Below are 23,735 nucleotides of genomic sequence, written 5' to 3'. Positions count from 1 at the left end.
CATGCCATTGCACTCCAGCCTGGGCAATAAGAGGGAAATTCCATCTCAAAAAAAAAAAAAAGTCAAGTGAATTGTGCATTGTATCCCATAAATTATCTGTATTTGTCCCAACATGAAAACAATGTTCCCTGCAAATCTTGGCATGAATTTGAAGCTCTCTAAAGGTGCCCCCATGTGTTCTGTGGCACCATTGCCCACAGCTTAGTGTACTGACAGAATCGTCCCCTGTAGCCATTGACTATCGGTACTAATCAACTGGGGCTGCTATCATAAAATACCACAGACCTGGGGGCTTAAACAACAGAAATGTATTTGCTCAAAGTTCTGGAGGCTGGAAGTCCAAGATCAAGATGTTGGCAAGGTTGGTTTCTCCTGAGGCCTCTCTCCTTGGTGTGCAGAAGGCCGCCTCTGGCTGTGTCCTCACATGGCCTTTCCTCTTTGTGTGCACTCCTGCTGTCTCTTCTCTTCTTCTTACAAAGACACCCATTGTATTAGATTAGGGCTCCATCCTTAGAACCTCATTTAATCCTTTTTTTTTTTTTTTTTTTTTTTGGAGATGGAGTTTTGCTCTTGTCCCTAGGCTGGAGTACAATGACATGATCTTGGCTCACTGCAGCTCCCACCTCCCAGATTCAAGTGATTCTTCTGCCTCAGCCTCCCGAGTAGTTATGATTACAGGCACCCACCACCATGCCTGGCTAATTTTTGTATTTTTAGTAGAGACGGGGTTTCCCCATGTTGGCCACGCTGGTCTCAAATTCCTGACCTCAGGTGATCCACCCACCTCAGCCTCCCAAAGTGCTGGGATTATAGGCGTGAGCCACCTCGCCCGGCTGACTTCGTTTCATTTTAATCATCTCCTTAAAAGTCCCTTCTCCAAATGCAGTCACATTGAGGGCCAGGGCTTCAACATTTGAATTTGTGGGCTGGAGAAGCCCACTTCAGTCTATAAGACCACCCTGGTCATCTTTGGGCAGAACTGCAGATAACTCATTTTCATGATAAAGATGATCATTCTGGCCACGTGCGGTGGCTCATGCCTGTAATCCCAGCACTTTGGGAGCCCAAGGTGGGTGGATCACAAGGTCAGCAGTTCAAGATCAGCCGGCCCAGATGGTGAAACTCTGTCTCTACTAAAACTATAAAAATTAGCCAGATGCGGTGGTGCATGCCTGTAATCCCAGCTACTCGGGAGGGTGGGGCAGGAGAATTGCTTGAACCCAGGTGGCAAAGTTTGCGGTGAACTGAGATTGAGCCACTGCACTCCAGCCTGGGTGACAGAATGAGACTCCATCTCAAAAAAAAAAAAAAAAAGATCATTCCTAGGTTTCCAGGCCTTTTACAATTCTGATGAGCAAAGCCATTGTCTACCCAGAAACCACTACTAAATATGAAATTGTTACCAAGAGCCCAAGAGTATCCAGTCTAGCATTCTCCTGTTTGCCCATTAGCAAAATACTTGTTTAGCAAATTGCTACACAAAGAGCAGAACCCTGGGAAGAGAAAGGTTTATTGGGGTGTAGAGGTGGCAGAACAGGAATGAGCCAGGAGGAGGGGCGTTTAGAGGAGGAGTTGTTTGGGCAACAATCTGGTAGGCTAGGCTGGGCCAGGAACGGGACTATTGGATATTCTTTTCTCATTCTTCTCCAGTTTTTTTCTCTACCCTTCTTCCCTGCTCTGGCTAGCTCCTGCTGTAAGGAGCAGTACCCCAAACAGGGACGTCCAGGCACGGTGGTTCATGCTTGTAACCACAGTGCTTGGGAAGGATGGGGCAGAATGATCGCTTGAGGCCAGGAGTTTCAGGCCAGCCTGGGCAACATAGAGAGCCCTCAACTCTACAAAAAATATATAACTTAGCTGGGGGAGGTGGTGAATGCCAGTGGTCCCAGCTACTCAGGAGGCTGAGGTGGGAAGATGGCTTGAGCCAAGGAGTTTGAGGCTGCAGTGAGCTGTCATTGCACCACTGCACTCCAGCCTGGGCAACAGAGTGAGACCCTGTCTCTCAAAAAAAAAAAACAACCAATCAACCAACCAAACAAGGAAAGATCCTCTCAGGCACTATCCTATAGGGGGCAGGTCACATGTCTGCTTGCTCTGGGCACAAGGTCATTGCCACACCTCTGTCTGGGTCCATCTCTTTCAAGCCAATCAATCGTTCCCAGCAAAGAGAGTGCTTACCTTCAGGCATAGCCCTGGCCTCTGACGCTACAACAAACAAGAGCTTTCAGTCTTGTTGAGAAACACAGTTCCCTCCTTAACTATTTTGGTAGGGTTCTTTTAATTCAGAACTTTAGAAAGCAAACAGAAGAATACCTTGAATCCCTAAATGAAATTAACCAAAGTCACTGTTTTGGGAAAATAAACCGAATTGAAAATAATATAAAGTCATAAACACAATGTAGAGATAATGTTATCTTCTCACTGGAAGATTAATTACCTTAACCAGGGATGACTAGGGCTAGGTCTCTGGCCCAGTACAGTCGTTTTGATACAGCCACAGCCCATACTGGTCTGGTTGCTTCTCGCTATTGGTGTTTATTGCAGAGACATAATTGTTTATGGATTTTCTGCCTCCATTAATTATGTTTCTATTTCCACCATTCCTGTTCCAAATTTCTATTGTAGAAATGCTAGAGAACTCTGTAATGCAAATGTGTTTGGTATGAAGCTATAGAGTACAAGGGGTTTTACAGGGCTGCCCAGATTTAGGGAGGGTCTTCTCATATCACATAGAAACTTCCCATATCACATAGGAACTCCACACCCCAGCAATATTTTATTATCAAACAGTCCCTCTAGTAAAACAGCAAGGGTCAAATGCTACACTTTGTTTCAGACAGGGTCTTGCTCTGTCACCTAGGCTGCAGTGCAGTGGTGCGATCTTGGCTCAGTGCAACCTCAATTTCCTGGGCTCATGCGACCCTCCCACCTCAGCCTCTCAAGTAGCTGGGACTACAGGTGTGCATCATCATGCCCAGCTATTTTTATTTTTATTTTTTGTAAAGATGAGGTCTCACTTTGTTGCCCTGGCTGGTCTCAAACTCCTGGCCTCAAGCCATCCTCCCGCCAAGGCCTCCCAACATGCTGGGATTACAGGTGCGAGCCACCATACCCAGCCTGATTTCATTTTCGACATTCATTTTGTCTTTTATACCTTTAAATCAAGTTGGGTAAAGTAAAATATGTGGATTTCATGTTTTAACCAACAAAAGGTGTGGGGTGACAAGAGCAAGAAGCATTTGTTAAGCATGAACACCATGCTAGGTGTCTTACTTATGTTGCCTTTATCTAATAATGCCTATAATGCTAAGAGACATTACTGCTGTCTGACAGCTGAAGACACTGAGGTCCAGGAGGGTGACAGGCAAGCGGGGAGCAGAGCCGGGACAGGAGGACAGCATGATCCAAGTCAGAGCCCGTGTTCTTTTATTATCCCAAATCTGGAACAACAGATCACTTCTGTTTCCTTGATGGACTTAAAAAAGTTTTTGTGGTGATGGTCCGGATCCAAGATGGCCGAATAGGAACAGCTCCAGTCTGCAGCTCCCAGCGTGATTGACACAGAAGACAGGTGATTTCTGCATTTCCAACTGAGGTACCTATTCATCTCATTGGGACTGGTTGGACAGTGGGTGCAGCCCATGGAGGGTGAGCCAAAGCAGGGTGGGGCATCGCCTCACCCAGGAAGTGCAAGGGATCAGGGGATTTCCCTTTCCTAGCCAAGGGAAGCCATGACAGACTGTACCTGGAAAATCGGGACACTCCCACCCTAACACTGCCCTTTTCCAAGGGTCTTAGCAAACAGCACACCAGGAGATTATATCCTACGCCTGGCTCAGTGGGTCCCACACCCACAGAGCTTTGCTCACTGCTAGCGCAGCAGTCTGAGATCAAACTGGGAGGCGGCAGCCTGGCTGGGGGAAGGGCGTCTGCCCTTGCAGAGGCTTGAGTAGGTAAACAAAGCAGAGGGGAAGCTCGAACTGGATGGAGCGCACCATAGCTCAACAAGGCCTGCCTGCCTCTGTAGACTCCACCTCTGGGGGCAGGGCACAGCTGAACAAAAGCCAGCAGCAGAAACCTCTGTAGACTTAAACATCCCTGTCTGACAGCTCTGAAGAGAGTAGTGGTTCTCCCAGCACAGTGTTTGAGCTCTGAGAACAGACAGACTTCCTCTTCAAGTGGGTCCCTGACCCTCATGTAGCCTAACTGGGAGACACCTCCCAGTAGGGGCCAACTGACACCTCATACAGCCGGGTGCCCCTCTGGGACAAAGCTTACAGAGGAAGGATCAGGCAGCAATATTTGCTGTTCTGCAATATTTGCTGTTCTGCAGCCTCCACTGGTAATACCCTGGCAAACATGGTCTGGAGTGCACCTCCAGAAAACTCCAACAGACCTGCAGCTGAGGGACCTGACTGTTAGAAGGAAAACTCACAAACAGAAAGGAATAGCATCAAAATCAACAAAAAGGACATCCGCACCGAAACCTCATCTCTAGGTCACCATCATCAAAGACCAAAGGTAGATAAAACCACAAAGATGGGGAGAAACCAGAGCAGAAAAGCTGAAAATTCTAAAAACCAGAGCGCCTCTTCTCCTCCAAAGGATCGCAGCTCCTAGTCAGCAATGGAACAAAGCTGGATGGAGAATGACTTTGATGAGTTGAGAGAAGTAGGCTTCAGAAGGTCGGTAATAAAATTCTCCAGGCTAAAGGAGGATGTTTGAACCCATCACAAGGAAGCTAAAAACCTTGGAAAAAGATTAGATGAATGGCTAACTAGAATAAACAGTATAGAGAAGACCTTAAATGACATGATGGAGCTGAAAACCATGGCACGAGTACTACGTGACACATGCACAAGCTTCAGTAGCTGATTCGATCAACTGGAAGAAAGGGGATCAGTGACTGAAGATCAAATTAATGAAATAAAGTGAGAAGAGAAGTTTAGAGAAAAAAGAATAAAAAGGAAAGAACAAAGCCTCCAAGAAATATGGGACTACGTGAAAAGACCAAATCTATGTTTGATTGGTGTACCTGAAAGTGACGGGGAGAATGGAACCAAGTTGGAAAAAGCTCTTCAGGATATTATCCAGGAGAACTTCGCCAACCTAGCAAGGCAGGCCAACATTCAAATTCAGGAAATACAGAGAATGCCACAAAGATACTCCGCGAGAAGAGCAACCACAAGACCCATAATTGTCAGATTCACCAAGGTTGAAATGAAGGAAAAAGTGTTAAAGGCAGCCAGAGAGAAAGGCCAGGTTACCCACAAAGGGAAGCCCATCAGACTAACGGCGGATGTCTCAGCAGAAACTCTACAAGCCAGAAGAGGGTGGGGGCCAATATTCAACATTCTTAATGAAAAGAATTTTCAACCCAGAATTTCATATCCAGCCAAACTAAGCTTCATAAGTGAAGGAGAAATAAAATCCTTTACAGACAAGCAAATGCTGATATTTGTCACCACCAGACCTGCCTTACAACAGCTCCTGAAGGAAGCACTAAACATGGAAAGGAATGACTGGTACCAGCCACTGCAAAAAGATGCCAAATTGTAAAGATCATCGATGCTAGGAAGAAACTGTATCAACTAACAGGAAAAATAACCAGCTGACATCATAATGACAGGATCAAATTCACACACAACAATATTAACCTTAAATGTAAATGAGCTAAATGCCCCAATTAAAAGACACAGACTGGCAAATTGGACAAAGAGTCAAAACTCATCAGTATGCTGTATTCAGGAGACCCATCTCACACGCAGAGACACACATAGGCCCAAAATAAAGGGATGGAGGAAGATCTACCAAGCAAATGGAAAACATAAAAAAGCAGGGGTTGCAATCCCAGTCTTTGATAAAACAGAATTTAAACCAACAAAGATCAAAAGAGACAAAGAAGGCCATTACACAATGGTAAAGGGATCAATTCAATGAGAAGAGCTAACTATCCTAAATATATATGCACCTAATACAGGAGCACCCAGATTCATAAAGCAAGTCCTTAGAGACCTACAAAGAGACTTAGAATCCCACACAATAATAATGGGAGACTTTAACACCCCACTGTCAATATTAGACAGATCAACAAGACAGAAGGTTAACAAGGATATCCAGGACTTGAATTCAGCTCTGCACCAAGCAGACCTAACAGACATCTACAGAACTCTCCACATCAACAGAATATACATTCTTCTCAGCACCACATTGCACTTATTCTAAAACTGACCACATAATTGGAAGTAAAGCACTCCTCAGCAAATGTAAAAGGACAGAAATCACAACAACCTGTCTCTCAGACTACAGTGCAATCAAATTAGAACTCAGGATTAAGAAAATCACTCAAAACTGCACAACTACATGGAAACTGAACAACCTGCTCCTGAATGACTACTGGGTAAATAACGAAATGAAGGCAGAAATAAAGATGTTCTTTGAGGCTGGGGGTGGTGGCTCATGCCTGTAATCCCAGCACTTTGGGAGGCTAAGACGGGCAGATCACCTGAGGTCAGGAGTTCAAGACCAGCCTGGCCAACATGGTGAGACCCCCGTCTCTACTAAAAATACAAAAAAAATTAGCCGGGCATAGTGGTGGGTGCCTGTAATCCCAGCTACTCGGGAGGCTGAGGCAGGAGAATCACTTGAACTTGGGAGGCGGAGGTTTCAGTGAGCCAAGATCACAGCATTGCACTCCAGCCTGGGCAACAGAGCAAGAATCTGTCTCAAAAAAAAAAAAAAGAAAAGATGTTCTTTGAAACCAATGAGAACAAAGACACAACGTACCAGAATCTCTGGGACACATTTAAAGCAGTGTGTAGAGGGAAATTTATAGCACTAAGTGCCCACAAGAGAAAGCAGGAAAGATCTAAAATCGACACCTTAACATCACAATTAAAAGAACTAGAGAAGCAAGAGCAAACAAATTCAAAAGCTAGCAGAAGGCAAGAAATAACTAAGATCAGAGCAGAACTGAAGGAGATAGAGACACAAAAAACCCTTCAAAAAAATCAATGAATCCAGGAGCTGGTTTTTTCAAAAGATCAACAAAATTGATATACCACTAGCAAGACTAATAAAGAAGAAAAGAGAGAAGAATCAAATAGACACAATAAAAAACGATAAAGGGGATATCACCACCAATCCCGCAGGAATACAAATTACCATCAGAGAATACTATAAACACCTCTATGCAAATAAACTAGAAAATTTAGAAGAAATGGATAAATTCCTGGACACATATACCCACCCAAGACTAAACCAGGAAGAGGTTGAATCCCTGAATAGACGAATAACAGGCTCTGAAATTGAGGCAATAATTCATAGCCTACCAACCAAAATAAAGTCCAGGACCAGATGGATTCACAGCCAAATTCTACCAGAGGTACAAAGAAGAGCTGGTACCATTCCTTCTGAAACTATTACAATCAATAGAAAAAGAGGGAATCCTCCCTAACTCATTTTATGAGGCCAGCATCATCCTGATACCAAAACCTGGCAGAGACACAACAAAGAAAGAGAATTTTAGACCAATATCCCTGATGAACATCAATGCGAAAATCCTCAATAAAATATTGGCAAACCAAATCCAGCAGCACATCAAAAAGCTTATCCACCAAGATCAAGTCGGCTTCATCCCTGGGATGCAAGGCTGGTTCAATATATGCAAATCAATAAACGTAATCCATCACATAAACAGAACCAATGACAAAAACCACATGATTATCTCAATAGACGCAGAAAAGGCCTTTGAAAAAATTCAACAGCCCTTCATCCTAAAAACTCTCAATAAACTAGGTATTGATGGAACATATCTCAAAATAGTAAGAGCTATTTATGAAAAACCCACAGCCAATATCATGCTGAATGGGCAAAAACTGGAAGCATTCCCTTTGAAAACTGGCACAAGACAGGGATGCCCTCTCTCACCACTCCTATTCAACATAGTGTTGGAAGTTATGGCCAAGGCAATCAGGCAAGAGAAAGAAATAAAGGGTATTCAATTAGGAAATGAAGAAGTCAAATTGTCCCTGTTTGCAGATGACATGATTGTATATTTAGAAAACCCCATCGTCTCAGCCCCAAATCTCCTTAAGCTGATAAGCAACTTCAGCAAAGTCTCAGGATACAAAATCAATGTGCAAAAATCACAAGGATTCCTATACACCAATAACAGACAGAGAGCCAAATCATGAGTGAACTCCCATTCACAATTGCTACAAAGAGATTAAAATACCTAGGAACCCAACTTACAAGGGATGTGAAGGACCTCTTCAAGGAGAACTACAAACCACTGCTCAACGAAATAAAAGAGGACACACACAAATGGAAGAACATCCCATGCTCATGGATAGGAAGAATCAATATTGTGAAAGTGGCCATACTGCCCAAGGTAATTTATACATTCAATGCCATCCCCATCAAGCTACCAATGACTTTCTTCACAGAACTGGAAAAAAAACTACTTTAAAGTTCATATGGAACCAAAAAATAGCCCGCATTGCCAAGACAATCCTAAGCCAAAAGAACAAAGCTGGAGGCATCACGCTACCTGACTTCAAACTATACTGCAAGGCTACAGTAACCAAAACAGCATGGTACTGGTACCAAAACAGAGATGTAGACCAATGGAACAGAAAAGATCCCTCAGAAATAACACCACACATCTACAACCATCTGACCTTTGACAAACCTGACAAAAAAAAGAAATAGGGAAAGGATTCCCTATTTAACAAATGGTGCTGGGAAAACTGGCCAGCCACATGTAGAAAGCTGAAACTGGATCCCTTCTTTATACCTTATACAAAAATTAATTCAAGATGGATTAAAGACTTAATGTTAGACCTAAAACCGTAAAAACCCTAGAAGAAAACCTAGGCAATACCATTCAAGACACAGGCATGGGCAAGGACTTCATGACTAAAACACCAAAGGCAATGGCAACAAAAGCCAAAATAGACAAATGGGATCTAATTAAACTAAAGAGCTTCTGCACAGCAAAAGAAACTACCATCAGAGTGAACGGGCAACTTACAGAATGGGAGAAAATTTTTACAATCTACCCATCTGACAAAGGGCTAATATCCAGAATCTACAAAGAACTTAAACAAATTTACAAGAAAAAAATCAAACAACCCCATCAAAGAGTGGGCGAAGGATATGAACAGACACTTCTCAAAAGAAGACATTTATGCAGCCAAAAGACACATGAAAAAATGTTCATCATCACTGGTCATCAGAGAAATGCAAATCAAAACTACAGTGAGATACCATCTCACACCAGTTAGAATGATGATCATTAAAAAGTCAGGAAACAACAGGTGCTGGAGAGGATGTGGAGAAATAGGAACACTTTTACACTGTTGGTGGGACTGTAAACTAGTTCAACCATTGTGGAAGACAGTGTGGCGATTCCTCAAGGATCTAGAACTAGAAATACCATTTGATCCAGCCATCCCATTACTGGGTATATACCCAAAGGATTATAAATCATGCTGCTATAAAGACACATGCACACGTATGTTTATTGCGGCACTATTCACAATAGCAAAGACTTGGAACCAACCCAAATGTCCACCAATGATAGACTGGATTAAGAAAATGTGGCACATATACACCACGGAATACTATGCAGCCGTAAAAAAAGATGAGTTAATATCCTTTGTAGGGACATGGATAAAGCTGGAAACCATCATTCTCAGCAAACTGTCACAAGAACAGAAAACCACACACCGCATGTTCTCACTCATAGGTGGGAATTGAACAATGAGAACACTTGGACACAGGGCGGGGAACATCACACACCAGGGCCTGTTGTGGGGTGGGGGGTTGGGGGGAGGGTTAGCATTAGGAGAAATAGGTAATGTAAATGACGAGTTAATGGGTGCATCAAACCAACATGTCACATGTATACATATGTAACAAACCTGCACGTTGTGCACATGTATCCTAGAACTTAAAGTATAATTAAAAAAAAAAAGTTTTAGTAGCATCCCCAAGGACTCGCTACTGGTAAAGTGGCAGCACACAAACTGGGGAAAAAATCAGGTCTCCTGACCCCCAACTTGCTGTTAAACTTTAAAATGCAGCTCTCTTCCTTAAGATTCAAACTACTTTCTGGTTTTCTGTGTGAAAATCATTGTAAGCCAAGTGATCTTGTCCCCTATATTGTTAGCTGCTGTGATGTCATGTATTATCACACTTCAGAAGAATATTCTCTTATTTTTTGGTTTTTACATAGTTGATCAAAATATCACAGACCAATTTTTTTTTTTTTGAGATGGGATCTCGCTCTGTCTCCCAGGCTGGAGTGCAATGGTGTGATCATGGCTCACTGCAGCCTCAACCCCCCTGACTCAAGCGATCCTCCTGCCTCAGCCACCCAGGTAGGTGGGACTACAGATGTGTGGGCCACCATGCCCATTGCAGAGACAATGTTTTGCCACATTGCCCAGGCTGGCCTCCCATTCCTGGACTCAAGCGATCCACCTGCCTTGGCCTCCCAAAGTGCTGGGATTATAAGCATGAGCCACCGTGCTGAAGTATTCAAAATCCAGTCCCTCAATAGGAGGAAAAGGGCAACTCACTGCTGGCCTCATAAGAAGTTACCCGAGGGGCAGCCTCTCCTTTAGCAGCCAAGAGAAAAGTTTGCCTGCTTCTTTCCTGGATCCTGCTGGCCACTTGGCTGCTGAGCCAGAGGTGGCGGGTGATGTGATCTTACCTGGACACATACTGACTTCAGAGTATGGTAAGGCATAGGAAACTTCTAATGCTCCTTGTTTATTAAAAAAAAAAAAAAAAAAAAAAAAAAAAGGCCAGGTGCAGTGGCTCATGCCTGTAATCCCAGCATTTTGGGAGGCCGAGGCAGGTGGATCACCAGGTCAGGAGATTGAGACATCCTGGCTAACACGGTGAAACCCCGTCTCTACTAAAACTACAAAAAATTAGTTGGGCGTGGTGGCGAATGCCTGTAGTCCCAGCTACTCGGAGGCTGAGGCAGGAGAATGGTGTGAACCCGGGAGGTGGAGCTTGAAGTGAGCCGAGATCGCGCCACTGCACTCCAGCCTGGGCGACAGAGTGAGACTCCGTCTCAAAAAAAAAAAAAAAAAACTAGGGCGGGTGCGGTGGCTCATGCCTGTAATCCCAGCATTTTGGGAGGCCGAGGCGGGTGGATCATGAGGTCAAGAGATGGAGACCATTCTGGCCAACATGGTGAAACCCGGTCTCTACTAAAAGTACAAAAATTAGTTGGGTGTGGTGGCGCTCGCCTGTAGTCCCAGCTACTCAGGAGGCTGAGGCAGGAGAATTGCTTGAACCCGGGAGGCGGAGGTTGTAGTGAGCCAAGATCGTGCCATTGCATTCCAGCCTGGGCGACAGAGCGAGACTCTTGTCTAAAAAAAAAAAAGAGAGAGAGAAATTAAAAAAAAGAGAGAAATTATAAATGTAATATCCATATTCATATATATATTTAACTGCTGTATCTTTTTTCTCTTTGGTAAAACTGAGATTAAAATTTTGTTACCAGGTCCGGGTAGTGGTAGCTCTCACCTATAATCCCAGCACTTTGACACGCCAAGGCGGGCAGATCATCTGAGGTCAGGAGATCGAGACCAGCCTGGCCAACATGGTGAAACCCCATCTCTAATAAAAATACAAAAAGTAGCTGGGTGTGGTGGTGCACACCTGTAATCCCAGCTACTGGGGAGGCTGAGGCAGGAGAATCACTTGAACCTGGGAGGTGGAGGTTGCAGTGAGCCGAGATTGTGCCATTGCACTCTAGCCTGGGCAACAGGAGTGAAAGTCAGTCTCAAAAAAAAAAAAAATTTGTTATCAGGATTCTTCTATTATAAGCAACCGGAATGGATTCTGGCTAACTTGACTGGGAAGGAGGAGGGCAAAGGAGGGAGCACAGGAAGGAGGGCTCGTAGAATCAAAGGCAGAGTTCAGCGACCAGGCTTTAAAAGGACAGGCCTCAACTTAGATGGATCTTGGGCTCTGGCCCCACATTGTCTTCAGCCCCTCTGTTTCTGCTCAATCTTTATTTATTTGTTTATTTTCATTTTTAAGGTTTTTTTTTTTTTGAGAGACAGGGTCTCCCCTTGTCACACAGGCTGGAGTACAGTGGTGTGACTTTGGCTCACTGCAGCCTTGACCTCCTGAGCTCAGGCAATCCTCCCACTTCGGCCTCCCAAACAGCTGGGACTGCAGGCGAGTGCCACCACATCCAGCTAATTTTTGTATTTTTGTAGAGACGGGGTCTCACTATGTTGCCCAGAGCTGGTCTCGAACTCCTGGGCTCAAGTGCTCCTCCCGCCTTGGTCTCCCAAAGTGCTAGGACTACAGGTGTGAGCCATCACTCCTGACCTCCTGCTCCATATTTAAATTCCAGGGAAAGCCCTTCTGATTGGTGTGGGATGGGTCAAGTGTCCGCCTTCATGGTAGGAGTGGGGCTGGCCCCTAAGACTGACACCCCCGCCAGAATTACATGAAATGTGGTCTATGGGATGGGGCTATTTCCCAAAAGAAAGGATGCCGGACAAAGAAAAAAAAAAGGCTCAGATGCCCACTACTGTGAGTAAACACAGCAACAGTGAGGGTGGAGGGTGTCGGGGGCAACGGCACCAGAGAAAGCCTGAAAACAACTCACAGCTGCAAGTCATTTGTAACTGAACTTCCAAGGTAAGAAACAAACAGCCTTACCACTTTGTGTGAGCTTGCAGGACCCAAGAAGAAAGGCAATGGCTCTTTTTGCTTCTTTCCCCTGGGGAGGAAGTTTGATTGGGCGTTTGTTGAGGCTGCACAGCTAGAGGTTGCAGCAGCCTCTGGCTGGGCACAGGATCAGGGGAATGGGGAATGGCCAGCCTTCCTGGGTCACGAGCAGCTCAGAACAAACGCTGGCCTCCTGGGCATAGCCCTGCTTCAACCAGCCTCTGACTGGAGCCAAGGGAGGCAGTGGGGTGGAGGTTGCCCAGAAGTCCCTTTGACATTAACCTTGACGCTTAGAGGCACACTTTAAAATTGTGTTGTCCAATACAGAAGTCACAAGCCACTTGCAATGTGGCTAGTCCAAACTGAGATGTGCTGTAGGTATGAAATGCACATAGGATTTTGAAGGCTTACTGGAGAAAAATAAACACACATAACATATCTTAATAATTTTTAAAAATCAGCTGAGCGTGGTGGCTCATAGCTGTAATGTCAGCACTTTTGGAGACAGAGGCAGGAGGATCACTTGAGCCCAGAAGTTCGAGACCAGACGAGGCAACATAGCAAGACTCTGCCTCTACAAAACAAAATTTTAAATTAGCTGAGTGTGGTGGTGCAGACCTGGCATCCCAGCTACTAGGAAGTCTGAGTGGGGAGGATCACAGAGTCCAGGAGTCTGAGGCTGCTGTGAGCTATGATTGCGCTACTGCACTCCAGCCTGGACGACAGAGCGAGACTCCGTCTCTAACAAACAACTTGATTTTTTAAAAATTACTTGTGTGGTTCACATTCTACGTCTCCTGAAGAGCTGCACTCTAATACCCTAGTGTTGCTTCAGAGTGCAGGTCTGTTTTTTATCCATTTTGTCTCCCCTGAACACTTGTCAGTGCCTTGCACAGAGCAGGTGCTCAATAAATTTTTGTGGGCAAATTAATAAATGACCACATTTATTCAAAGCAACGTTTATGCTGCATGTAGCATAGGCATGCAATATACACATGCCACATGTTTATGTACGAAGAGCAAACCTGTAACCCCAGCATGTACAAGGAATAAACCCTTCTCGAAATATCAAGACCAGGACACAAATGGCAAAGCTGGCAAACTGCTGTGCCCTCCTCTTTTCTTTGGTGGCCTTTTTTTATTGTCCCCTAAACTCACTCTGCTTCAACAAGAAGGCAGTCCTTTCAAGGTTTAGCAAGCTTAGCTGAAATGTGTGTTGTGTGTCAAATTAAGTGCTTTTATGGAAACGAAGAAGTGTCTATAAACCAGATTGTTGAATTACCAGGATAGATGAGGTTGTTTTCAGAGCACTCTGAGGCCTGGGGAGATTGATTCCATGAATAGCCTGAGGCCACGCAGTTACTGGTAGGGCTGGAACTAGACTCCCTGAATCTTTAAACTTCAACTTCACGCAGAGTAGAGGCTGTCAGGTATCAACTCCCTCAGCTTTCCTCCATGGGACATCCATGATATGTGTCTTTGTTCTTTCTTCCTGCTATCTCAGAGGAAGAAGGGGTGTCCTTACCCCTTTCCAGAGCTAATCTTGCCACCTGTGCCGGTCGCCCAGCCCCTCTGGGGCCACCCATCTGGGGCCTTGCTCCAGGAGTTCCCTCCTGTCCCTGATGTTTCCCTCTGTCTATCCATGGCTTGTCCATGGCCCTATCGGATGCTCAAGACCTCCTTGCCCTCAAAACTGCTGCCCTTGTCCTGGTCCTGTAACCCCTCCTGCTTGCTCCCTCTCCTCTGCATGTTCTCTCTCCGTCCTCTCCCAGGCTGACTCTTCAGTTGCTAGCTTCAGCTCCCTTCTCTCCTGACACTGATTTCACACTTCCTAAGAATAAGCTACAGATGGATCACTTGCATCTGCCACAGGGACCCAGCGTGTGTCACACACAGCTCATAGCTCCCATCTGTGCCCTGTCATCTACTCAGGATCACACCCTTTCACCCCTCTCTGACTCTCAGGCTTTCTCTCTCCTCCTTCCTCTGCTTTTCTGCTGGCTGCTGTTAGGTCCTTTCATCTCTTCTGGACCCCTGTGTTCACCAGTGCACTGAGTGCTGTGTGTTGTGCTGGGCTCAAAGCGCGTCGCAATGACCTAGGCAGGGGCCAGCACAGGGGCATCCAGCCTTCTCTGGGGAGGTTGGCGACGGCAAGATGAAGACAGTCAGCTGAGACCTGAAGGAATGACCTAGGTGAAATGGGGATCAGAGAAACTAAGGACATTGCCTCGTTGTGTGAAGGACTAAAGGCAATCAAGACAGCAGGAAACATTGGGTGAGCTAAAGGCACTTGTGAGGACCAGAGTTTGGAGCTGCAGGTGGGGAGCAGGCATGAGTTGGCCAGACCACAAATGACCTTACCTGTCAGTTTAAAGCATCTGGGGCCTCTTATCCCAGCACTTTGGTAGGTCAAGGCAGAAGGATCACTTGAGTCCAGGAGTTTGAGACCAGCCTGAGCAACACAGGGAAGCCCTCTCTCTACAAATAATTTTAAAATTAGTTGGGTGTGGTGGTGGCACACACCTGTAGTTTCCCCTACTCAGGAGGCTCAGGCAAGAGGATGGCTTGAACCCAGGAGGTTGAGGCTGCAGTGAGCTGTGATCGTACCACTGGACTCCAGCTTGGGTGACAGAGCAAGACCCTGTCTCAAAATAAATAGATAAATAAATAAATAAAATAATAAAAACAAAAAATTTGTGGTGGCGCATGCCTGCAGTCCCAGCTAGTTGGGAGGCTTGAGCCTGGGAGGTTGAGGCTGCGGTAAGTCACGATCACACCACTGCACTCTAGCCTAAACAACAGAGTGAGACCCTGTCTCAAGAAATAAAATAAAATAAAGAATATAAAGAATAAATAAAGAGTTTGGAAGTCATTTGGAAGTCACAATGGTGAGCATTTGAAGGGTTTGGGGCAGGGAGAGACGTGAAAGGATTTGCGCATTAGAAAGGTGGCTCTGGTCTCTCCCCAGTGTGGCAAACAGCAGGGAGGGAGGTAAGAGTCCAGGTGGGCTCCCAGTTATTAGTTAGCGCCTTGAGCTAGGTGACAGACTGTGGCGTCTGGAGATGGGGAAGCAGCACGCACTCATTCATTTCCAATCTTGGTCAATTTTCTTGAGCACGGCCATAGCCCTGGAGGGAGCTGAGATGACGAGCTCTACTTCTGCACTGAGGAAGGCAGATTATTATTTGTTAAGTAAATAAAGGATGACACTGCAGTGTGACAGGTGCTAGAAGACAGGTGAGAACAAATGGCCATGGGGGTCAGAGCTACCAGGACTCTTCCAGGAGGAGGTTTCCCACTGAGAGCCACAGCTCTCATCTCCTCATCTCCTTTCCTTCCATGGGATGCCAGCTTTGTCCCCCAAGCCTGGGACAGGGCATCCTTGCCTCTTTTGGATCTAGTGAGCAAAAGTAAAATGTGGCTAAAAGTAGATAGGGCTTTGTAGGACCTAGGTGTCCAGCTTGCCACTTGCTGAGAAGGCCATACCTGAGACTTTGCAAGTACCTGCTCCACAGAGACTGTGCCATGAAGCCAGCCTGAGTCCAGAACTTCCCTACCCAGGCATAAATTTGTTCCAAAGAGTTTTAGTCCCAAAGACTTTGTTAATACTTGTTTCACTGGGATCACTTCCTCTCCTCTGCCTCCCTGGCTCCTGTGCATTATTCAAAACCATGTTCAGATTCTCTCCACCGGTGCTCCCTTTTTGGCAGTGAAGTACGCCCAAGTCTTTACCAACCCCAGACAACTCCTTCCATGAGCATGCACTACCCACCACCTGCGATCTGCTCTTCAGGCACCCAGAACACATAGCAGATACAGTGTGAGCACAGGAGCCTGTGAATCCATCATGCCCTTTCCCCAGGTCATTCCCGTCCTCAAAGTCTCTGCCTCTGTGATTTCTCACAGCTCTATATCCTTTCACATTGGCGCTAATCACAGCTCTGACTTTTCCAGTGTGCTCCCACCCACCTTCAGACAGGGTCTGGCTCAGCGCAGTCACTCCCCGGTTTGATGGTGAATCTTCCATGCAGCCACCACGGAGCTCTTTCAAAAATGCAAATCTAGGCCGGACACGGTGGCTCACGCCTGTATCCCAGCATTTTGAGAGGCCAAGTCAGGCGGATCACCTCAAGTCAGGAGTTTGAGACCAGCCTGGCCAATGCGATGAAATACAATGTGATGTTGTATTTTTCAGTCTCTACTAAAAAAATACAAAAATTAGCCAGGCGTGGTGGCAGGCACCTGTAATCCCAGCTACTCGGGAGGCTGAGGCAAGAGAATCACCTGGGAGGCAGAGGTTGCGGTGAGCTGGGATTGCACCACTGCACTCCAGCCTTGGAGACAAGAGCAAGACTCCCTTTCAAAAAAAAAAAAAATATATATATATATACATATAGCAAATCTAGGCTGGGCGCAGTGGCTCATATCTGTAATCTCAGCATTTTGGGAGGCTGAGACAGGAGGATTGCTTGTGCCCAGGAGTTCAAGACCAGCCTGGGCAACATAGTCATCTGGGTTCTTCACTTAGGATTCTTTACTGCTCATGGAAAGGCCATTTTAAAAGGGCATAGGCAAAATGACATACTCAGTACAGGTGAATGAATGTCCAGTGGTTAAAGTTTAGGCATCAGCGGAGGGAGACAAAAGCCTAGCTCCTCCAATCACACTTCAAAGGCGACAAGAAACACTTAGAAGTAAATCTTGCCCTGCATGGCTGGTTTGTGTGGGAGACAATTCATGGATCCTTTTCACACTGAACAGAAAGTACTGGGAACATTAACATTGAGAGCAAGGGATGTCCCTGCAGGTCACCCAGAAGCAGAGAACAAACGAATAGCACTTGAATATCTTCACCCATAAATTTTTCTCAAATTGCAAGTAAATGTTTATTGGGAGCCAATTATGTGACTGCTACCATAATAACATACATGGTGGGGGGGCGGTGAAACATACAAATCTTGGACAACCAAGGCATTTGCAATAGCGTGCACACACACACACACACACACACACACACACACGAAATGGTAGAACGGGAACTGCAGGGAAGTGTCAAGCCAGAGTTAAGATGAAAGTCTGATGGCTGTGAAGCTTTGTAGGGGAAATTCTGTAATGCTAGAGAAAAGTGCTGCAAATCATGGGATTTTCGAACTGACATTTCATCCATTAGAGTGTAATTTAGGTTTTCCATCTCTACTATCTGTGATAAGACTAGGAAACTGTGGGAAAATGAACTGGTTTAGTGATAGCAGCAAAGAGGATAATTAAATGAGCTACTTTATCTGGGAAATTCTGCGATTCATGAGATATCAAGGAGGCGGGTCTCCCAGTAATGTTAGGAGACTAGGAGTGTTGATTTGTAGTTTTCTTGACCAGCTCTGTGCTCAACATGAAAAGTCACCTGAAACCCTTCATCCTATCTGAGTCCCTTCATTTCCTGCGTGCGCCCTGGCCGCAGAGCCTCTCCTTCAAGCCTCAGCTGCTTCCTCAGAGTTCAGCCTTCACCCACCCATGCACCAAGAGCAGTCCTTCTCCTTCTGGATCGAGGCTGTTTCCACAGGGACTAAGAGGAAGGAAACTACAGATGCTCACCCATCATGTAACATGGGCGTCTTGCAGCTCTGTGTTTTACCCTGTGGCTCCGTACGTGTGCCTCTGTCAGCAATACGCTGTTTCATCCACATGGGATGGTAGCTCCACAAAACCTGGAGCAATCTTTTTTCCTACCCTGGACCCACATAATATCAATTGGATTATTAATGAAATTTATGGCCCATTTTGCGAAGTGGTGACCACAGTTGCCTACCATGCAGTTTTAGATCATTAGGGGGAGAAAGTCACATAAAAGTAAAGCATTAACTTACAAAACACTTCCCTTTACAAAAAAAACTGTAAATACTTTCCCTTCTGTGGTTTTCTGTGTCACATGAATCCACTTCAATCCAAGGTACGCAGACCCATAAATACCAGGTATCCATAAAGTTCTAGGCAACTACAGCAACTGAACCTGACATTGTAACTTTGATTTTAAATAAAAATACCATCTTTTTTTTTCCTGATTAGAGTAACTAGTATTGAATTTGACCAAAGTCAATAAAGTCTTTCTTAGAAAATAAACACGGTTTCTTTGGGTGCCAGGGCCTGTTTTCAGTGTTGCTTTATGCACTGTACAAATGGTATACTTTATATTTTCTCTTTATTGTGTTTTTTTCAATGTGATTTTAGGTTATATTTTTACATTGCACATACTGTGTTATTTAGTAACTGTCGGCCGGGCGCGGTGGCTCACGCCTGTAATCCCAGCACTTTGGGAGGCTGAGGCAGGTGGATCACTAGGTCGGGAGATCGAGACCATCCTGGCTAACACGGTCAAACCCTGTCTTTACTAAAAATACAAAAAAAGTAGCCAGGTGTGGTGGCAGGTGCCTATAGTCCCAGCTGCTGGGGAGGCTGAAGCAGGAGAATGGTGTGAACCTGGGAGGCGGAGCTTGCAGTGAGCCGTGATCACACCACTGCACTCCAGCCTGGGCAACAGAGCGAGAGTCCCTCTCAGAGAAAAAAAAGTAACTGTCAGTTATTGAAAACAAATTGTGTGGCATACATGTCCGATATATTGGCTCACTGATGCTTCTCAATAACCACGGGAGGTAGACGTTTCTGGGTCGTATGTTTGTGTCCCATATGAATTCTTATCAAAAGACCTCCACTTCATAAAAGGTGAGTGGGTGAGATGACCTGCCCTGCGGATGTCAGGGGCCTCCTTCTCCAACACCCCAGGCCTTGTGCAAAAGGTCATAGTGGCAGGAATAGAGATCTTGTGCTTTGTCAACAACACAAACCTTCTCTTATCAAAGTGGACCTGACGACCGCCACTGTTGTGAGCCTAATTCACAGCATGCGGGCTCTCAGTCTCTGTTATGGTTCTAGTCATTGAGGAGACTAGCCAGCTACCTGGTGGCAGGTTTATTACATTACACCTTAGATTAAACATTAGACCCCTCCCACCAGGAAAGGGATGCCTCTGTGTCTTCACTGGAATAGACACTTAACCTGGATTTGTGTTTGCTTTCTTTGATTCTGCTACACATGAAATGTGAAATTAATGAATGCCTTGGGCTGGGCGCAGTGGCTCATGTAATCCCAGCACTTTGGGAGGTCAAGGCAGGTGGATCACTTGAGGTCAGGAATTCCAGACCAGTCTGGTCAACATGGCGAAACACCGTCTCTACTAAAAACACACCTGTGGCTGCGTGTGGTGGCTCACGCCTGTAATCCCAGCATTTTGGGAGGCCAAGGCGGGTGGATCACCTGAGGTCAGGAGTTTGAGACCAGTCTGGCCAACATGGTGAAACTTCAACTCTACTAAAAATACAAAAAATTAGCCAGGCATGGTGGCGGGTGCCTGTAATCCCAGCTATTTGGGAGGCTGAGACAGGAGAATCGCTTGGACCCAGGAGGCAGAGGTTGCAGTGAGCCGAGATTGTGCCACTACACTCCAGCCTGGGCTCCAGAGTGAGACTCTGTCTCAAAAAACAAAAACAAAAACAACAAAACAACAACAAAAAAAACCCACACCTGTGCTGGGCATGTTGGCCCACACCTGTATTCCCAGCACTTTGGGAGGCCGAGGTGGGTGGATCACCCGAGGTCAGGAGTTTGAGACCATCCTGGCCAACATGGTGAAACCCCGTCTCTACTAAAAATAAAAAAATTAGCCAGGCATGGTGGTGGGCACCTGTAATCCCAGCTACTCAGGAGGGTGAGGCAGGAGAATTGCTTGAACCTGGGAGGCGGATGTTGCAGTGAGTTGAGATCCGCGCCACTGCACTCCAGCCTGGGTGAAACTCTGTCTCAAAAACAAACAAACAAAACTGCACCTGTAATCCCACCACTATGGGAAGCCAAGGCAGGAGGATTGCTTCAGGCCAGGAATTCAAGACCAGCCTGGACAACATAGTGAGATCCTGTCTTTATTAAAAATTTGAAAATTAGGGGCTGGGCGTGGTGGCTCACGCCTGTAATCCCAGCACTTTGGGAGGCCGAAGCGGGGGGATCACGAGGTCAGGAGATCAAGACCATCCTGGCTAACATGGTGAAACCCCATCTCTACTAAAAAAAAATACAAAAAAAAAAAAAAAAGAAAATTAGCCAGGCACTGTGGTGTGTGCTTGTAGTTCCAGCTACTCAAGAGGCTGAGGTGGAAGGATCACCTGAGTTCAGGAGTTGGAGGCTGCATTGAGCCGTGATTGTGCCACCGCACTCTACTCTGGGTGACAGAGCAGACCCCGTCCCCCCCCACCAAAAAAAAAAGAGTGCCTTAAAGATCACCAAGGTGTCTTACAAACATTATTTTACAGTGAAAAAAGCAGGCAATGGCCGGGCGCAGTGGCTCACACCTGTAATCCTAGCACTTTGGGAGGCCAAGGCGGGCAGGTCACCTGAGGTCAGGAGTTCAAGACCAGCTTGGCCAACATGGCAAAACCCTGTCTCTACTAAAAATACAAAAATTAGCTGGGCGTGGTGGCACGTGCCTGTAGTCTCAGCTACTCAGAAGGCTGAGGCAGGAGAATGGCGTGAACCCCGGGAGCTGGAGGTTGCAATGAGTTGAGATCGCACCACTGCACTCCAGTCTGGGCAACAGAGCCTTCGAGACTCTGTATCAAAAAAAAAAAAAAAAAGAAAAAAAAGAAAAGAAGAAGCAGGCAATGGACTTACTGTCATGGGTTTCAATCATCTCGTCACATACCCCATTATCCAGAAGTCATAGAACAGTGACATGGCATGAGTTTCCAAAGACACAATGATAACACTTTCAGAGATTGGCGTGCTAGGTGGCAGGATGTAGTGTATGCTCTGAATCAGTAAAGAACACAAGGTTTGGCCCCTCCCATAGCCAGAATACACAGAGCTAAGAAGCGGGAGGTGGAAGTGGATAAAGTTATACTGAATGATCCATTCGAGTTTTTTGCTTCCTGTCTTCACGAATCTGTTCTCAGCTGGTTTTGAGGCTTCAGTACCGAAGCGGGAAGTGCTTGCGCAAGGAGTCATGGTGAAGGGAAGTGAATAGAGACACCTGGTATGTTGTCTCCTTGTGCCATCAGGCAAACAGAAAGAGGAGAGCTGAAGTGTTGGCTCGGGTGATTAACTGATCCCAATTACCAAAAGTTCTGACAGGCAATATGGACAGGGAGGTGCATGGCTTCTGGGAGCTCCTCCTGGAAGAGGGTTGCACGTGGGTACTGGGAATGAAAAAGTGGGCTAGAGTGGACTTGGGCCATTGCTTTGGTTGCCCTCTCCCCAACCCCTCATCCTATTTGTGAGTCTTCCTCAGTGAGGACGCCCGGGTGTGGGGAAGGGCTGCATCTTCACGAAAGGCTGAACGCATTCCCTCTTCCCCCAGGTAGTATGGGCATGGACAAATAGCCCAGTTTACCCATTGGAAACTCCTCCCAAGCCTTCAGTTCTGGAGGGAGACCCACAAAGGTAAAGATGGTTAAAGCTGATGCACAGAAACACAGGCAAGGGTCCCTAGAGGCAGTACCCATAGGGGCTTATCAGCCAGGCTGTTCCTGACACTGGTCCTGGCTGGTGTCCTGTGTGCCTGGACAGCCTTGGTGTTTAGCCTGTTGTCCAAGCCTGGTTCTGTCCAAGCCTGGTTCTCCAGGCTTCCTGGAAATTACCTTTTTGTCAATTCCTTCTCTGCTCGAGTTACCCACAGTTGATGGTATTGCTTTCAGCCAACATCTCTGACTGGCACCATGGGGAAGGATGCACAAATGCCAATTCTCCTTCTGGTGTTACGATTCAGACCACACATGACTTTCCCTCCTTTCTGAAGCACTACATGTTTTGATTGCTTAGGAGCTAGAATACATGCTGTAAAAATAACAGTGAGGGTAGAGAAGAAGCAAAACTTTTAAGACATGAAAAGAAAATCTTTTTAGTAATAAGCAACCCAAACTTAGCCAACATGTGTCTACATTGCACCTTGCACTTAAACTCATCAATGTCTAAAACACCTCAAAACAGCAGGCAAGACAGAAAGAAAGCAAGAATGTGTAGGTTAAGAACTGAATTGAACCCAGATGTTAGCTTTCACCTTAATGGAAAATGAAACCAAGTTTCTTAAAAAAAAAATTCCATTGAAGAAGATTTTTTTTTTTTTTTGAAACGGAGTTTCCCTTTTGTCCCCTAGGCTGGAGTGCAGTGGCATGATCTCAGCTCACTGCAACCTCTGCCTCCCAGGTTCAAGTGAGTCTCCTGCCTCAACCTCCCGAGTAAGTGGAATTACAGGTGCCCACCACCATGCCCAGCTAATTTTTTGTATTTTTTAGTAGAGACAGGGTTTCATCATGTTGGCCAGGCTGGTCTCGAACTCCTGACCTCAGGTGATCCACCCGCCTCGGCCTCCCAAAGTGCTAGGATTACAGGCGTGAGCCACTGCACCCGGACAAAGAAGAGTTTTCTTTTTTTCTTTCTTCCATTTCCTGGGTCCTTCTCCATGCCACTGCACTCCAGCCTGGGAGACAGAGCGAGACTGTCTCAAAAAAAAAAAAAAAAAAGGAAGTGGGGGTTTTTGTTTGTTTGTTTGTTTTGATACAGGGTCTCACTCTGTCACCCAGGGTGGAGTACAATTATGGCTCACTGCAGCCTCAACCTCCCAGGCTCAAGCTATCCTCCCACCTCGGCCTCCCTGGTAGCTGGGATCACAGACAAACGCCACCATGACCAGCTGATTTTTGTATTTTTAGTAGAGACAAGGTTTCACCATGTTGCCAGGGCTGGTCTCAAACTCCTGGCCTCAATTGGTCCTCCCACTTCAGCTTCCAAAAGTGCTAGGATTACAGATGTGACAGATGTGAGCCACCGTGCCCGGCCAGAAGTGGCCTGATGGTATGAGAGGAGGAGTGGGGGGGTTGGCAATCTGCTCTTTTCCAAACAATGCTGATTCTTTTTGCAACCATGAGGACAAGGACTGCTGGAGAAATCCATCCCCATCTTTCCTTTAAAATGAGACTGTACTGCCT

The 23,735-nt window shown here is 46.0% G+C and overlaps 5 annotated features.

Annotated features, from left to right (window-relative positions):
* Positions 14,814 to 15,314: an enhancer, noted in NCBI's record as "H3K4me1 hESC enhancer chr22:17768852-17769352 (GRCh37/hg19 assembly coordinates)". NCBI's record gives its function as "activates a minimal SCP1, AML or CMV promoter by ChIP-STARR-seq in naive H9 embryonic stem cells {active_cell/tissue: H9 hESC(naive)}" and the evidence as "EXISTENCE:reporter gene assay evidence [ECO:0000049][PMID:30033119]".
* Positions 19,311 to 19,812: an enhancer, noted in NCBI's record as "NANOG hESC enhancer chr22:17764354-17764855 (GRCh37/hg19 assembly coordinates)". NCBI's record gives its function as "activates a minimal SCP1, AML or CMV promoter by ChIP-STARR-seq in naive H9 embryonic stem cells {active_cell/tissue: H9 hESC(naive)}" and the evidence as "EXISTENCE:reporter gene assay evidence [ECO:0000049][PMID:30033119]".
* Positions 21,495 to 21,554: a silencer, noted in NCBI's record as "silent region_13436". NCBI's record gives its function as "represses an Ori minimal core promoter by ATAC-STARR-seq in GM12878 lymphoblastoid cells {active_cell/tissue: GM12878}" and the evidence as "EXISTENCE:reporter gene assay evidence [ECO:0000049][PMID:35858748]".
* Positions 22,603 to 22,662: an enhancer, noted in NCBI's record as "active region_18619". NCBI's record gives its function as "activates an Ori minimal core promoter by ATAC-STARR-seq in GM12878 lymphoblastoid cells {active_cell/tissue: GM12878}" and the evidence as "EXISTENCE:reporter gene assay evidence [ECO:0000049][PMID:35858748]".
* Positions 22,883 to 22,982: an enhancer, noted in NCBI's record as "active region_18618". NCBI's record gives its function as "activates an Ori minimal core promoter by ATAC-STARR-seq in GM12878 lymphoblastoid cells {active_cell/tissue: GM12878}" and the evidence as "EXISTENCE:reporter gene assay evidence [ECO:0000049][PMID:35858748]".

This window comes from Homo sapiens, chromosome 22, assembly GCF_000001405.40.
Source record: "Homo sapiens chromosome 22, GRCh38.p14 Primary Assembly".
Taxonomy (NCBI): Eukaryota; Metazoa; Chordata; class Mammalia; order Primates; family Hominidae; genus Homo; species Homo sapiens.
The sequence above is the reverse complement of the archived record's forward strand: the minus strand, read 5'-3'. Positions and strand labels throughout refer to the sequence as shown.